General features: G+C 49.5%; 1 protein-coding gene and 2 long non-coding RNA genes across 19 annotated transcripts in view, besides 2 other annotated features; 2 read left to right on the plus strand and 1 right to left on the minus strand.

The window, feature by feature from the left end:
* KIAA1755 overlaps nt 1-16,049 on the minus strand; it is a 50,233-nt gene that overhangs the window by 33,896 nt on the left and 288 nt on the right. For all 17 annotated transcript variants that reach the window (NR_145960.2, XM_024452013.2, NM_001348708.2 and 14 more), the window contains exon 2: nt 1,531-1,728. Coding sequence is in view for 16 of the 17 variants with exons in the window: in XM_024452013.2 (XP_024307781.1) it covers nt 1,531-1,728 (198 nt within the window). In the remaining variant the exon portion in view is untranslated. The remainder of the gene's footprint in view (nt 1-1,530; nt 1,729-16,049) is intronic.
* Nucleotides 2,044-2,544: an enhancer, noted in NCBI's record as "H3K4me1 hESC enhancer chr20:36874844-36875344 (GRCh37/hg19 assembly coordinates)". NCBI's record gives its function as "activates a minimal SCP1, AML or CMV promoter by ChIP-STARR-seq in primed H9 embryonic stem cells {active_cell/tissue: H9 hESC(primed)}" and the evidence as "EXISTENCE:reporter gene assay evidence [ECO:0000049][PMID:30033119]".
* LOC124904900 (uncharacterized) lies at nt 7,565-13,463 on the plus strand. Its single transcript, XR_007067581.1, has 3 exons — nt 7,565-8,872; nt 12,688-12,865; nt 13,231-13,463. It is a non-coding gene; the product is annotated as an uncharacterized LOC124904900 (long non-coding RNA).
* Nucleotides 8,571-9,163: an enhancer, noted in NCBI's record as "H3K27ac-H3K4me1 hESC enhancer chr20:36881371-36881963 (GRCh37/hg19 assembly coordinates)". NCBI's record gives its function as "activates a minimal SCP1, AML or CMV promoter by ChIP-STARR-seq in primed H9 embryonic stem cells {active_cell/tissue: H9 hESC(primed)}" and the evidence as "EXISTENCE:reporter gene assay evidence [ECO:0000049][PMID:30033119]".
* LOC149684 (uncharacterized) overlaps nt 15,777-16,049 on the plus strand; it is a 28,773-nt gene continuing 28,500 nt past the window's right edge. Inside the window, exon 1 of the long non-coding RNA NR_104170.1 lies at nt 15,777-15,958. This is a non-coding gene — a long non-coding RNA (uncharacterized LOC149684). The remainder of the gene's footprint in view (nt 15,959-16,049) is intronic.

The raw sequence follows: 16,049 nt of genomic DNA on the forward strand, positions 1-16,049 counted from the left end.
TTCCTAACCCTGGACTTTTAGCTGCCACGTTCAATTTATTTCTACCACTGGAATGACGCACACAGTCCCCACCCTTCCTTGTTGCTTCTGATGAGCTGTGTCCCTGACAGGCAGTGGGCAACTCAGGACAGGCTGATGGGACCTTAGAACCTCTTTGTGATTCTTGAGGCTGAGGTAGCAGGAGGGTGGATGTTAATAACAACAGAGCAGGGAACAGTAGGGAAACCCATGAAGGGAATGGCAAGTTCCTGTGGTGGGCATTTGACGGCTTGGTCTCCTCAGGCTTCTCTCATCCTTTTCTGTTTTTTGTTTTTTGTTTTTTGTTTTTGAGACAGGGTCTCACTGTGCCACCCAGGCTGGAGTGCAATGGCGTGATCTTGGCTCACTGCAACCTCTGCCTCCTGGGTTCAAGCGATTCTCCTGCCTCCAAGCGATTCTCTTGCCTCAGCCTCCTGAGTAGCTGGGACTACAGGCATGTGCCACCACGCCCGGCTAATTTTTGTATTTTTAGTAGAGACGGGGTTTCACCATGTTGGCCAGGCTGGTCTCAAACCCCTGACGTCATGATCCACCTGCCTTGGCCTCCCAAAGTACTGGGATTACAGGCATGAGCCACCACTGCCGGCCTTCTCATCCTTTTCTTAAAACAGCTCCACCCTCTGACCATAGAGGTAGACACGTGACTCAAGCTTGGCCAATCCTGGTACCCCACTCCTCTGGCCACAGTGATTGGTCCAGGAATGGGCATATGACCCAAGCCTGGCCAATCAGGATCCTTCCTTGAGATTTTTCTATGTGCAGTGGATGGGAAAGAGTTTATTTTCCTCTCTAGGATAGAATATAAATCCTTGAGCTTCCCTGGGTTCCAGCCTTGTGGGAACACTTAGCCTGGAAGAATAATGCCAACAAGCAGCGCAAAGCAGAGACTAGGGACAGAAAGGATCTTCAAGGGATTTGATCAGTGGATCAACTTGGGCCTGAGGCCTGATCCACCCTTCCCTGGTTTGAGTGAGGATTCTGTCATTTGCAGCCAATGAGTCTGGCTAAAACACTTTTCTCTCCACTTTGCCTTGGCAGAGGCCTCCCTGAGATCTGAGTTTGAAGAGGTCACAGGGGAAGAAAGCAAGAGTCCTGATGCCTCAGGGGCTCCAGGGAAGCTCTAGGACCTTCTCTGCTATTTCCACTGAAGCTGCCTCACTTCACCAAAGGCACTTGGCAGTGCCCACAATGTCAGGCGCAGGGCAGGCTCCCCAAGACCAGGGAGCCCCCAAGGATGCCTTTACTCAGGCCTTCTTCTCTGCTGGTGACAGTACAATGTAATGAACTCATAGATGTCACAAGGTAAATCCCCTTCGATCTGGGGGGCTGATGTCTCCCCCTGGGCAAGCAATGATACTTGGAAAGTCCCCCCACACCCTCAGCTCCCCGTGAAACAAGACACAGGCCAGCCCACCTCCTTCTCTGCCCGCCTCTAGCCCCATGACTTTCTGGAACAGCTTGTTCCCTGTCCCTGTTTCCCTCTTGACTTACACAGGCTGCTTCTCGCACTTGCTCACACAGGCGCTTGGCAGGGATCAGGAAATCCAGAAGGAAGCTCAGCCCATCCCCCTGGAAGCCAGAGTCCAGGAGACGGAACACCTGACCCAGGACGGTGGGTGCTGTGGCCTCGAAAGGAGGATAGAGGCCCGCCAGGGCATGCTGGATGGCTGTGTCGAGGGATGGAGGGTCCTGTGGGGGACAGGAGGAGGGGGTGATAATAGCAATGATAATAAGGGCAGAGACCACTTCCCGTGACCTTCCAGGCCCCATATGCCTAAGGCCCCTGCTAATTCTCTGACCTCCTCTCCTACCCCACCCCCCTCACTCATCACTGCCAGCCACACTGGCCTTCTTTCCTGTCCCTCAAACACACTAGGCACAATCTCACCTCGGGGCCTTTGCACTGGCTGTTCCCTCTGCCTAGAATGCTCTTCCTCAAGACAGCCTCATTCCCACACCTCTTGCAGGTCTTTGCTCAAATGTCATCTGCTGATCCACGGAGACGTGGAGGAATAGGGGTGGGGGGTGGGCATTCAGGTCAGGGTCAAAGGGAAAGAGGATTTTGGCATTGCCCCAGTCTGACCGCCTGGCTGGCCTGCAGGCCTGCAGCCTGAAGCTGAGCCACGAGGGAAGCCCAGCCCAGACCAGACAGCCCCACTCCACATGCAGATGGGAGAGTGAGAATAAGTGATTGCTGTTTTGCCACTGAGCTTTGGGGTCATTTTTCACACAGCAATAACTGATACAAGTCCACGGCTGCAGACTGTACAGCCAGCTGCCTCCCATGGACCTCCTAGATGCCTCTCAGCCACCAACCGCCAACATATCAGACCCAACCTGGCAACTTCCCAAACCTGCTCCTCCCCCAGTCCTACCTCGGTGATGACCCCACCGCCCAGTCAGGCTCCTAGGCCAGAAATCTGCTCACAGCACTGCTTCTCCTCCTGCCTCCCAACCCACAATCAGCCCTCAGTGTGTCCCACACCACTTCCCCTCCACCAACAGCTCTCCAGCCAGGTGCTCCGCGCTGTCCCCTGCCCCCGCCCTGATCCAGGCTTCACCGCCTCTTCCAGGAAGGGATCCAGAAGGCAGTCAGCCCGTCCCCCTGGCAGTCAGAGTCCAGAAGAGGGAAAACTGGGCCCAGGACCCAGGATCACCTGACTCCTCTCTTTGGCTGCCAAATTCTCGTCTGCCTCACCCCAGCCATTTTCCACCAGGACCCCAGAGCGACCTTTCTCAAATGCAAACCAGACCTCATCAGTCTCTGCTCCAAACTCCTCAAAGGTTCCCACCGTCTTCAGGAAGCATCAGCCTCCAGGCATCCAGCTCCCCTGAGATCTGGCAGCTGCCCTCCGCCCCCGCCTCCCCTCCAGCCTCGCCACCCCTCTCCATGCTTCGGCCACAGTGGCACATGCCTTCCCTTGCTCACCTCGAGGCCACCGCACATGCAGTGGCTTCCTGCTGGAATGCCCTTCACTTCCACCCCTCCTCACCTGGCCAACTCCTCATTCAAGACTCAGGTCAGCTGTCAACTCCTCCAGGAGATTTTCTTGGGTGCCCCCAACTACCCCAGGGAGATCAGGTGTCCCCTTTTCTGGGATCCTATAGTACCCCTATTACAGCGGTTCCCATCTAAAGGCAGGTGTAATGGGTAGAATGACCTCCAATGACGCCCTCATCCTAATCTCTGGAACCTGTGAACGTGCTGTTACAAGACAAAGGGGAGTTAAGGCTACCAATGGAATTAAGTTTGCTAATCAGCTGACTTTAAAACAAGGAGACCATCCTGGATTAGACAAATGGGCCCAGTGTAATCACCAGGTGGAAGAGGATGCAGAAGAGGGAAGGGTAAGAGGAAATGTGACTATGGGCCAGGGGTGGTGGCTCACACCTGTAATCCCAGCACTCTGGGAAGCTGAGGTGGGAGGATCGCCTGAGGCTAGGAATTTGAGACCAGCCTGGGCAACATAGTGAGATCCCATCTCTTATTACATTAAAAATCGTAAATAGGCTGGGTGTGGTGGCTCATGCCTGTATCCCAGCACTTTGGGAGGCTGAGGTGGGTGGATCCCTTGAGGTCAGGAGTTCAAGGCCAGCCTGGCCAACATAGCAAAACCCCATCTTTACTAAAAATACAAAAAAGTAGCCCGGTGTGGTGATGCATGCCTGTAATCCCAGCTACTCGGGAGGCCAAGGCATGAGAATTGCTTGAACCTGGGAGATGGAGGTTTCAGTGAGCCAAGATGGCGCCACTGCACTCCAGCCTAGGCGACAGAGCAATAATAAATAAAATAAAATAATAAATAAATAGCGGAAATATGACAACGGAAGCAGGATCAGAGAGATGTGATGTTGCTGGCTTGGAACATAGAGCGGGAGCCAAGGAATGCGGGCGTCTCCTAGAAGCTGGAGAAGGCAAGCAAATGGATTCTCCCCTAGAGCCTCCAGAAGAGAAATAGCCCTGCCAAGACTTTGTTTTTGGCCCAGTGAAATGCATGTCAGGCCTCTGATCTTTTATTACCTGCAAGGTACTATACTTGTGTAGCTTGAAACTAAAGTGCATGATCATTTGCTACGGTGGCAACAGGAGGCAGGTACAGTAAGCACTGGCTTCTTTTCCTCTTTGGGGCCTCGGTGTCTGCACAGGACCAGGCACAAACAGGTGCTTCATAAATTTTATGGCAGAAGAAACAAAATGTCCCTCTCTGAATCACAATTTTTCTTTTCCTTTTCTTGTCTTCTCTTTATTATTATTATTATTATTATTATTATTATTTTTGAGACAGAGTCTTGCTCTGTTGCCCAGGCTGGAGTGCAGTGTTCCGATCTCTGCTTGCTGCAGCCTCCGCCTTCTGGGTTGAAGCGATTCTCCTGCCTCAGCCCGAGTAGCTGGAATTACAGGGATGAGCCACCGTGCTTGGCCTTTTTGTTTGTTTGTTTGTTTGTTTGTTTTTAAAGACAAGATCTTGCTCTGTTGCCCAGACTGGAGTGCAGTGGTGCTATCTCGGCTCACTGCAGTCTTGACTTCCTGGGCTCCAGCAATCCTTCCACCTCAGCCTCCCGAGTAGCTGTGGACCACAGGCACCCACCACCATGCCTAGCTAATTTTTGTATTTTTGGTAGAGATGGGGTTTCACCATGTTGCCCAGGCTGGTCTTGAACTCCTGAGCTCAAGCTAGCCACCCGTCTCGCCTTCCCAAAATGCTGGGATTAGAGGCATGAACCACCACGCCTGGTCAGAACCACCATTTTTCTGTCAAATAGACAAGTTGGACTAGGCCAGAGGTTTCCACCCAGGTATGGTCTTAGGACCCATAGGTCATGAGCCTCACGGGGGCCCTTCTGGTTGCCCCAGCCTGGTTGCAAGCTCCAGGTCCACCTGTTGCCCAGGGGGGCAAAGGGAGATGAGAATAAATAAGGACCCCACTCAAAGGGAGCTTACTTAAGGAGGGAAAAATCATTTTAGTAAATGAGGCCCCTGAAGAAAGAGAAATACAATAGGAACTCTGAGGAGGAGGAGGGTGGCATTTCTCAATGCCAGCAAGATTCCAATGCCAGGAGGCTTTTACAGAGGACTGAGGCTCCCTCCCACCCGTAGCCCACACAGTGCTGGGCGCAGGGGACCGCCATCACTATTTGTAGAATGAATGAGTGAATGAATGAGTGTCCACAGCCCATTGTGATGGAAACAGGGTCCGGGCACTGCCGTGGCAGTGAGCTCAGAGAGGATGATGGACCGACAGGCATCTGGTGCTGAAATCACATGTACCCAGGAGGTTTTACACTGAGGTGGAGGGAGGGGCCTTCAACTTGGCAGAACAGGGAAGGTCTCATCTGGCCCGGTGTCCTCTTCTAATCCCCCCCCAACCCCCACCAATCATGGTCAAACTCTGACATTTCCCACCCCATGCAATCCTGGGAGCAGTCCCTTCCCCTGCCAGGTGCCCTCCCCACTCCCTCCCTCCTCTCTCCTGAGACTTGGGCTCTGGCCTCTCTGTTGAGACGTTGGCTCCAGCCTCTCTGTGCAGCCTTGAGTAGGTCCTTTCCCTCTCTGGGCCTCTTTCCTTGTGTAAAGAAAGCATATTGAGCTGGGCTAAGCTTGATTTGTTTTGGTTTTGGAAATTTAATCATTCATGATGACTTTTATGATGTTTAGCATCTCCTCATACCATGCATACTATTAGCACTTACTATTTTTCTTCAAATCCACTCACTTTTTCAAAACTTACATAATTGTGTTTTTCAATGAGACTCTGTATCATCACAGTGGTTATGCAAGTGCAGCCAGACTGCCCGGGTTCAAACTCTGGTTCTGTCACTTACTGGTTGTGTGTACCTGGCAAGTCAGATTTAACTCGTTGTGCCTCAGTTTCCTCATCTGTAAAATGGAGACTGTAATTACACCCACCTTAAGGAGTTGATCAAGATTGGGTGTATTGAGGTAATACATGCGAATTCTCTGCACAGGACTAGAATTTAGTAGGTGCTCATTAAGTAAGAGCCATCACTACAATTTCTGTGGTCATATTATTATTATTATTATTATTATGGTGTGTGTGTGTGTGTGTGTGTGTCTGTGTGTGTGTGTGTGTGTGTGTGGTTTTAAGGAGCAGAAAGTTTAATAGGCAAGAAAGAAAGAAGGAAGAAGAAAACAGTTCCCCTGTATGGAGACAGAGGGAGGAGGATTCTAACAAAGAGAAAACCCCGTGTGCTGCAGAAAAGTGGCTGCTTCTACGAGGAGGTTGGAGGAGATGGTGTCTGATTTGCATAGGGCTCAAGGGATTGGTTTGACCAGGCATGTCACTCATGTAGCCCACGAAAAAACTGGCCCTACTACCCTAGCTTTTTAATATGCAAATGCAGGGCGCCATGATGTTCTACACAGGTGGGGATATGTGGGGGCGGCCATGTTACCAGGCACATGTGGGGGCAAGGGCAAGAAGAAGAAGGTAGGAATCACCATGTTTGGGTGGATCTGTGGCAATATTATAACTGTTATTACATCATCACTATAAATGGAGAAATAACTGTAAACTGGCATAAATCGAATGTAACTCCAAAAATAAACTGATGATGCATTGGATGGTTTTTGTATTATTTCATTTATTAAAATATATTTAAATATATTACTTATATAAAGTATATTTTTTGTTTACTGTTTGTATTTCTGTGAAAATAAACTACTTTAAAAAATAAAAATAAACAATGAAAACGAATAGTACCATTAAATTCTAGGGACATCTGGTCACCTCTTGGAGCCTAAGGGGGTCTTCTCCCTCTCTTTCTCCCAAATGCATCAGAGAGATGTTAAAGACATCTTATCCCCAGAGGAAGTCTTTCTCCTTAGGTCTGGAGAAGCTCAGGGAATTTGAAAGGGACTGATTGTCCATCACATGGTTCCATGTCATTTAGTTCCAGTCTGTGACATACCTTGTGTCTAACCAGGCCCGCATTCCTGGCCCCTATACTATGCTCATGACCTTCTGGACTGACCCAGGGAACCTTGTAGTGCAGAGGGACATAGAAAACTACCTGCTCACAGTGGTTATACCTGGGCAATGGAGTGGGGGTGGGGGGATGTGTATACTTCTATTTCAATGTCTTTGCAATGAGCCACTGCTATTATAGTCTTTTTTTTTTTTTTTTGAGACAGAGTCTCACTTTGTCACCCAGGCTGGAGTACAGTGATGCAATCTTGGCTCACTGCAACCTCCGCCTCCCGGGCTCAAGTGATTCTTCTGCTTCAGCCTCCCATGTAGCTGGGATTATAGGCACCCACCACCGCGCCCAGCTAATTTTTGTAGTTTTAGTAGAGATGCAGTTTCACCATGTTGGCCAAGCTGGTCTTGAACTCCTGACCTCAGGTGATCCGCCCTCCTCGGCCTCCTGAAGTGCTGAGATTACAGGCATGAGACACTGTGCCTGGCCCCATTATAATCTTAAGTATCATTTTCGTCAAGTAAAATAAACAAATTTAAAGGGCACAGGTTGATGCCTTTTTAACCTATGTATGAGCCCCTGTAACCACTTACCCAGATCAAGAGACAAAAGAGCTCCATACTCCAGAGAGAGGCCCCTTGCCAGTTGTCTATGTCATCACTGTGGTCTGCATCCTAACCTCAGGGAAACAGTGAGTTAAACTATCTTTCCCTGATGTGCCTCAGTTTCCCCTTCTGCACATAGATGGGATTCTGATTCCTATCCTACCTCACTCAGATGATTGTTCTAGACACACAAGGAGCTAATTAATGGATGTACAGGGTCTTGGGGAAAGTCAAAGGCATGGCCGCTGCTGTTATTGCTATTCATTCTTACTTATTTTCACTCATCCTGTCAGCCCAAGCTTAAGTCCCAGCCTCTGTGTGAAGCATCCCCCATCTCCTGGTCCCTCCCTGTGTCCACTACTGTCACCCCAATGATAACAACAGTCTCCAGGCGGCTACTGTGCCCAGGTCCCCTACTTGCATTCTCTTGCTTAGCCCACACAACGATGCCAGGAGCCAAGTAGGAATGACCCGTTTTGCAAGTCAAGAAACCGAGGCTGATCTTGCCCAAGACCGCACAGAAGAGAAAGACAGAGCCAGGATCCAATCCAGATTGGGGCCTGCCAAGTCTGCCCAGATCTTCCCCTGTTTCCTGCCGCCCCCTCTGCCTGGGGACCACCAGCTGTGGGGACTGACGATCCCAGCTGCCTGTCCTTCCCAGTTTCTAGTAGAGCCTGAAGAAACTGTTTACCTCTCACAGAGCAAGGCTCAGAGACCGGGACACCCTTAGCTTTCACAAATTGGCTTGGTTTGCCACACACTGTTACCATTTAAGGGGCAGCCAGTAAAAAGGAAGTATGTTCCGAGTTAACAGAGCTCCGAGCTCTTGGCCAGCACATTACCCACTACAGGCCTGAACCCCAGGGGCTCATAAGCCATCCAAGTATTGGAGGAAGCACACTGTGGTGGGTGTGGGGGTGCCCAGGCGGCTGCAGGAAGGAACGCTAGCCACTCTCATTCCCAATCCACCCGGCAGCCCAGCCTGGGACCACAGGAACCCAAACACCAGACGTGGGCCCCTCAGCATGATTTCCATGAAACTTAATAGATGTGTTTCCATTCCTTCCCAGTGAACACAGCCCGCAGCCCGGCAGGAGCCAGGCTGTTCCCAGGCAGGAGCCAGCGGGTGTGAGGCTGAAAAGGAAGAAGGTGAGACGAGCCACAGCCCCCTCCCCTGCAGCCCAAGGTCAGAGAAGGAGCTCATCAAGGGGACAGGCAGAACCAGGCCCGCACTGCTGGCTCCTATACCATGCTCACGACCTTCTGGACTGACCCAGGGAAGCTTGCAGGTTAGGAGGGACTACTTGCTCACAGCGGTTATAACCTGGGCAGGGGAGTAGGGGCGTGCGTATACTTCCATTTCAATGTCTTTGCAATGAGCTGCTATTATTATAATCTTAAATACCATTTTTATCAAGTAAAATAAACAAATATAAAAGGCATAGGATGATGCCTTTTTACCTATGTATGAACCCTGTAACCACTTACCCAGATCAAGAGACAAAAGACCTCCACCACTCCAGAAAGAGGCCCCTTGCCAGCCAACTCTCCCACCCCTGACTATTGGAATTTTTTTTAAAGAAAACAGTGTCATACCGTATGATCTATAGTATGAATAAAACCATGTAAGCCTAGAAAAAACTCCAAGTGGACATTAAGTAAAGTGTTAACTGCAGTTACCCCTGAGGGCTGTGCGGGGCAGGGGCCTCGTAAGGCAGCCTTTTAATTTTCTTCATAGTTTCCCGGATTTTCCAAACATTCCGTAACCAGCTTGTATAGCTTTTATAATTAGGAGGGGAAAAAATAAAAGTGTGAGAGTATGTGTTTTTAAGGCTGGTTCCCTTTGTAAATGGTCTCACCAGATGTTGTTAGCTGGACTTTCTGAGATGTGGATTAAGCTTTTCTTTTCTTTTCTTTTCAAGAAAGAGTTTTGCTCTTGTTGCCCAGGCTGGAGTGCAATGGTGCCATCTCGACTCACTGCAACCTCTGCCTCCTGGGTTCAAGCGATTCTCCTGCCTCAGCCTCCCAGGTAGCTGGGATTACGGGCACCTGCCAACACGCCCAGCTAATTTTTTGTATTTTTAGTAGAGACAGGGTTTCATCATGTTGGCCAGGCTGGTCTAAAACTCCTGACCTCAGGTGATCCACCCACCTTGGCCTCCCAAAGTGCTGGGATTACAGTCATGAGCCACTGCACCCAGCTGGACTGAGCTTTTCTTAAAGGTCCAGATTTATCCATTTACTGCAACGGGCAAAGATTTTAGTATCACTTAGCATCTGCCGCCTCCTTACTTGGGAAGAGAGGACTGAGAAAAGCCAAAATGGACAGAGTCCTAGGGCTACCTTCAAGCTCTGCCCTGTTCCTTGGGGAAAAAAAAAATGCCTAGGGAGGGTGAGATTATGCCCCTGACTCTCTGGGTGATCCTGGCCTCAGTTTCCCCACCTATAAAAGGGAGGCACTAAGCATATCTATCTCCAAGGGCCCTTCCAGTAGGGGCATTCTAGAATTCAAAGTATAATCAGGGGCCGGGTGCAGTGGCTCATGCCTATAATCCCAGCACTTTGGGAGGCTGAGACAGGAGGATCTCTTGGGGCCAGAAGTTCGAGACTAGCCTGGCCAACATAGTGACAGCCTGTCTCTATAAAAAATAGGAAAACTTAGCCAGGCATGGTAGCTCATGGTAGTCCCAGTTACTTTAGGCACTGAGACAGAAGGATCGCTTAAGCCCAGGAGGTGGAGACTGCAGTAAACTATGATCACACCACTGTACTCCAGCCTGGGCAGAGCGAGTCCCCAACTCCAAAAAAAAAAAAAAGTATAATCTATTTCAGGAAGGTTTGGAGCTGGGATGTGGTTTCTGAATGGGATCAGTTAATCCTCAGTTGGTGAGAAGGTTTAAAAAGATCTGTCTTGGCTGGGCACGGTGGCTCATGCCTGTAATCCCAGTACTTTGGGAGGCTGAGGCAGGCAGATCACCTGATGTCAGGAGTTCGAGACCAGCCTGGCCAACATAGTGCAACCCTGTCTCTACTAAAAATACAAAAACTAGCCGGGTGTGGTGGCGGGTGCTGAAAATCACAGCTACTCAGAAGGCCGAGGCAGGAGAATTGCTTGAAACTGGGAGGCAGAAGCTGCAGTGAGCAGAGATTGGGCCACTGCACCCCAGCCTGGGTGACAGAGTGAGATCTGTCTCAAAAAAAAAAAAAATCTGTCTCTTCCATCTTCCTGCCTCAGGCCTAGGGAGAGTCAGTCTAAACCAACAGCCACAGGTATAAATAAGTGCTTCCAGGGGCCTGACAGGTAACATGAAGACAGACACTGGCTGAGTGTGAGAAAGCACTCACTTCCACCCTTTGGAGATAGTCAGCCTCAGCACCAGGGAAGCAATGGGGAATAGAGGGGCTTGGGGCACACACCCCCTCTCATCAGCATCAGCTGAGTGTTGCTTTGGCCCAGCACCACCTGATCTACTGATTTTTCAGTAAAACCTCCCAATTTTGAAAAAGTTGGCCAAGCCAAACACATCTGTGAGCCAGATACGGCCCAGCGGGTGTCAGGTTGTAATTTCCAGTCTCAATGACCTGGGACACTCGTCCTGAACTTCTCCAGGCTGGAGATTCTAGAACCAGCATTCTGTGGCTCTGGCTGCCAGGAAGTTCTTGCTCACTTCCAACTAAAACTTCTGCTTTAAGTCCTTTTTATTTTTGTGTGGGTGGAGGTATGAGTGAGTATTGGCTCGTATAAAAAAACTTTCAGAAACTGGGAAAACAGCCCTGATGCAGTGAGCCGAGAAGCAAGTGGCTGTCAGAAGACCCACGTTATAGTCCAGCTCTGTCTGTATCATCTGCATGACCTCGACCCCCTGCCCCTCACTGAGCCTTAGTTTTGTATTTGTTCCTTTCTCTCCCTCTCCCCTTTTCCTCTGCCTTGGGCTCACCATCTCCCACCCAAACCACATCATGATCACAATTGTAACCAGAGCTGCTTCCTACTGTCTTGTGTGTTAGGCCCCTGCTAAGCATTTTTCATTAACTATTTTATCTCAATAATTCTATGGGCTGGGTATTTTTATTCCCATTTTACAAGTTAAGAAACTGAGCTCAAGGCTCTACTGCTACTAAATGGTAGCACTGGGGTATGACCCTGGGCACATAACCACCAGCTGTCCTGTCTCTTTCCCCGGGCTCCCTGCTACCACGCCAGGCTCCTCTTAGTCATCATAGTGGGCTTCCTAACACAGAGATCCAACTGTGACCCTCCACTGCTCAACAACCTCGGGTGGCTCCCTATTGCCTTAGCAACTCACTGGTCTGGTGCTGTGGCCCGTCAGTCAGCTCCCAGCTTACCTTCCCTACTTCTTCTAAACATACTTTATGCTGTAGCCCAAGGCTTTCCAATCATCATGGGCCCCTTTCATGAGGTTCTTTCTGCCATGTTCACATATTCTAATTTGTTATTGGCTTACTCTTTTTTATTAATTATTATTTACTTAACGTTTGACTTTTTGTCAATTCTTTTTCAACTTAAATCTATTTTTTGGCTGGGTGTGGCGACTCATGCCTATAATCCCAGCACTTTTGGGAGGCCAAGGCAGGAGAATCGCTTGAGCCCAGGAGTTCAAGACCAGCCTAGGCAACAGAGGGAGGCCCTATCTCTACAAAAAATAAAAAGTTAGCTGAGCATGGTAGCACGCACCTGTAGTCCTAGCTGCTTGGGAGGCTGAGGTGGGAGGATTGCTTGAGCCTGGGAGATAGAGGCTGCAGTGAGCTATGATCATACCACTGTACTCCATCCAGCCCAGGTGATGGAGCGAGACCCTGTCTCAAAACAAAAAATTATTTATATTTATTATTATGTGTTTGTGCTGTTTAAATTCCTTCCTAATACTCATTAAGATGAAAAGCTGTAAACTAAAAATTGTTCATCTAAGTGCCATCTAAAATCTCCCCTCCTGGAACCTTTGGTGGATGCCACATCTTGGAAAGTGCTGCCTGGACACACATCTGTGTCTCTGCTTCCACTGCCCCACTCCCTGGACTGAGCAACCTCCTGCCCACCCTTCAGAGCCCTTCCAGACTTGCTTCTCTTCTCTTTGCTTTTCAGGACACATGTGCTTCCAGGCAGAAGGATGGACCCCCACCACCCATCAGACACAGCCTAGAATTATCTGTGGATGAACCTGCCTTCTCCATGGACTGCCAGCCCCCAAAGCAGGAACCACGTCCTTATAGAGGGCCTGGCACACAGTAGGGAACTGGGGTGGGGTACTGCCATGCAGCAGGTATGTGGGCAATGTTGAATGGATTAAACTGAACTTGGCTAGGGTGGTGGCTCATGCCTGTAAACCGAGCACTTTGGGAGGTTGAGGTGGGAGGATCACTTGAGGTCAGGAGTTTGAGACCAGACTGGCCAACATGGTAAAACCCCATCTCTACTAAAAATGCAAAAATTAGCTGGGCCTAGTGTCACACACCTATAGTCCCAGCTACGCAGGAGGCTGAGGCATGAGAATTGCTTAAACCTGGGAGGCAGAGATTGCAGTGAGCCAAGACAGTCCCACTGCACTACAGCCTGGGCAATAGAGCGAGACTCCATCTAAAAAAAAAAAAAAAAAAAAAACCTGAACGTGACCAGTTTTTCTCACAGGTGGCCCACAAAACAATTTTGGGAGAACATAGATTGATGTGAAATCACAGCGAGAAAGTTACTCCAGTTCTCTTCCATTCCTCACGATGACACCAAGGACAATACCTCAGTCTGGAGCCAGTCTATCTCGAAGACCTCTCAGGCACTTACTCATCACTCTGTTTAACAAAAGAAAACAGTCCTCGGGCTTGAAATTGTTCACCACCAACCTCATCCAGCCAGAATTTACTAACACAGATTTGCCTTCATTGAGTACATATTTTTATAGTTACTTTTTTTTTTTTTTTTGAGACAAAGTCTCGCTCTTGTCCTCCAGGCTGGAGTGCAATGGTGCGATCTCGGCTCACTGCAACCTCCGCCTCCGGGGTTCAAGTGATTCTCCTGCCTCAGCCTCCCGAGTAGCTGGGATTACAGGCACCTGCCACCATGCCCGGCTAGTTTTTTCTGTTTTCAGTAGAGACGGGGTTTCACCATGTTGGCCAGGCAGGTCTTGAACTCCTGACCTCTGGTGATCCGCCAGCCTCGGCCTCCCAAAGTGCTGAGATTACAGGCGTGAGCCACTGCGCCCGGCTTAGTTACTTTCTATTTATGACAATGGATACTGATTTTTTCATGGTTGTGATATAAAATTTTCTATTTAAATATATTTTTCAGTGTACAAAGTAAGTTGATTTAAAGAAAAATATTGAGCAAATAATAAGTAGTAGATTTTATCATTTTCTTATATATTTTATCCAGTAAGTGGATGTGTAAAAGTTGTTTCAGTGATACTAACATTTGGGAACCATGGGACAGGATCAACCCTAAGCCCCTTTGCCATAAGATTCTCTGACATGGGGGTGCCCCCAAACACTAGACAGCTGTTAATCAAATGCCCCACAAAAATTACAGCTATGATGGGTTATCATAAAGGAAAGATACATGACATGCTAGAGTAAGAGTCAGGGAAATCAGGGAAGGCTTTCCTGAAGAGGTGACATTTGGGTGAAGATTTACCGGGTAAATAAGAATTCATTAGGTGAAGGTATTCCTCCAAGCAGGAACAGCATGTGCAAAGGCCCTGGGGCAGCAGGGAGCGTGAACCATAAGAGGCTCGCAAGCAAGGCTGGAGTGGCTGGAGCACAGAAGTGAGGCCAGGGAGGTAGGCTGGCAACAACCTTTATTCTTTAAAAAACAGGCAAGGGAAGGAAATCTGCACATTGTTCCCAATCTGGAAAGAGTTGCTCACCCTTTGACAGGGGGCAGACCAGTGCCTGACCCTTGATCTGAGGATCTGGGGTTCAATGAGGGGTTTCTAATGACTAGGTTAGGTGTGAAAGCAGGAGAGGCTTGGCAAACACCAGGTGCACGCTGTGGCCCTGGAGTGACCATGACCGCCGAGTGCAGGCTCAGAATTCAGACTGTCCTAACTTGCACTTTCTGGGTGGGGTGACCTTGGGCAGCTACTTAAGTTCCCAGAGCCTGAGGTCCCCATCTGTTGGAGATAGCCGCAGGTCTAATCTTAGAGTTGGTATGAGTTACTGACTCCTGGATGTAAATCACCTAGCACAGGGCCTTGCCTGTAGGGAGAGGTGAATAACCACTGGCTTATGAGAGTATTTTCAAACAGCTCCAAGAGCCATGTGTGTGTACACCTGTCCCCGCAGTGCATGGATGTAGGTGCCCGGTTTTGCAATATGTCTGTGGTGTGTATGCCAATGTATGCCCATAGTTTAGCAGTATGGGGGAGCAGGTGCAGAAGGCATGGGTGTATGAGAGGGTGTGAACATGTGTTCAGCTGTGTGAGTCAGTGGGAGCATTCAGGTGTGCTCTGTGCGTGCATGTGTATGTGTGTGTGCATGTGTACGTGTGTGTGCATGTGTACGTGTGTGTGAGTGCCTGCGTGTGTGTGTGTGTGTGTGTGAGAGAGAGAGAGAGAGAGTATGAACACCTCTATATGGAATTCTTCTGCTTGTGGAGATGCATTTGCTGTGAGTGAAAACCCACACAAATTCAACATGGTTGGTCACAGTCACAGGGTTAAAGCCTTGGCCTGTCTTCACAGCTTTTTTCAAAATCCTTACAGCCCCTGTGAATCTGCCTGGGGCTCTTGTATCTGTCTGGAGCTGGGCTGAAATCCTCCAAAAACAGACTTTTCTTTCATTCCCTGTTGCCAGATACTGGCACAAACGCATCCCTGCCACCACCACCACCACACACACACACACACACACACACACACACACATTCTCCCAGAATGTCTCAACTTTTTTCAAGGTTCCAGCTCCAAAAGTCCCTTCCTCTTCCCTCTCCCCAGCCAATTCCCATGGAAGCACCCTGGGTTTCAATGTGTATATCTGACTTTCCATAGCTGAGTCTAAAACAGCAAAAGCATCCCAAGTTTTGGTAAGCAGTTCTCTCCTTTTCACCCTGGACCCTTAACCCTCCTCGCCCTGCACTGCCTGGCTGGCCTGGGAGGGGACTTTAACCCCCACCACCACTCTTCCCCATCCAAACTCCCTGCCGGGACAATGTGCATATCACAGTCAGTTCCAAAACAAACATGCAAAACCACCCCGTTTCAGCCCTCAGCCTCAGGGCTGAGATTCAGGCTCAGGTCTAGGGGTTGGGGAATATTAAAGTTTACAAGTACAATCTTACTCCATCCATACACACACATGGAGAAGCCAGGAGAGGACGCGGCCAGAGATGGGCTCCTGCCCTTGAACCCCTGCTGGGGTGGAAGCAGGTAAGCACAACCCTGCCAAGGCACTGAGGGTCGTCTCAGTGTAAAAGGCCAGGGCCACCCGGGGCTGTTCTGCAGGGAATGGGGAGGGCTG

This window comes from Homo sapiens, chromosome 20, assembly GCF_000001405.40.
Source record: "Homo sapiens chromosome 20, GRCh38.p14 Primary Assembly".
NCBI lineage: Eukaryota > Metazoa > Chordata > Mammalia > Primates > Hominidae > Homo > Homo sapiens.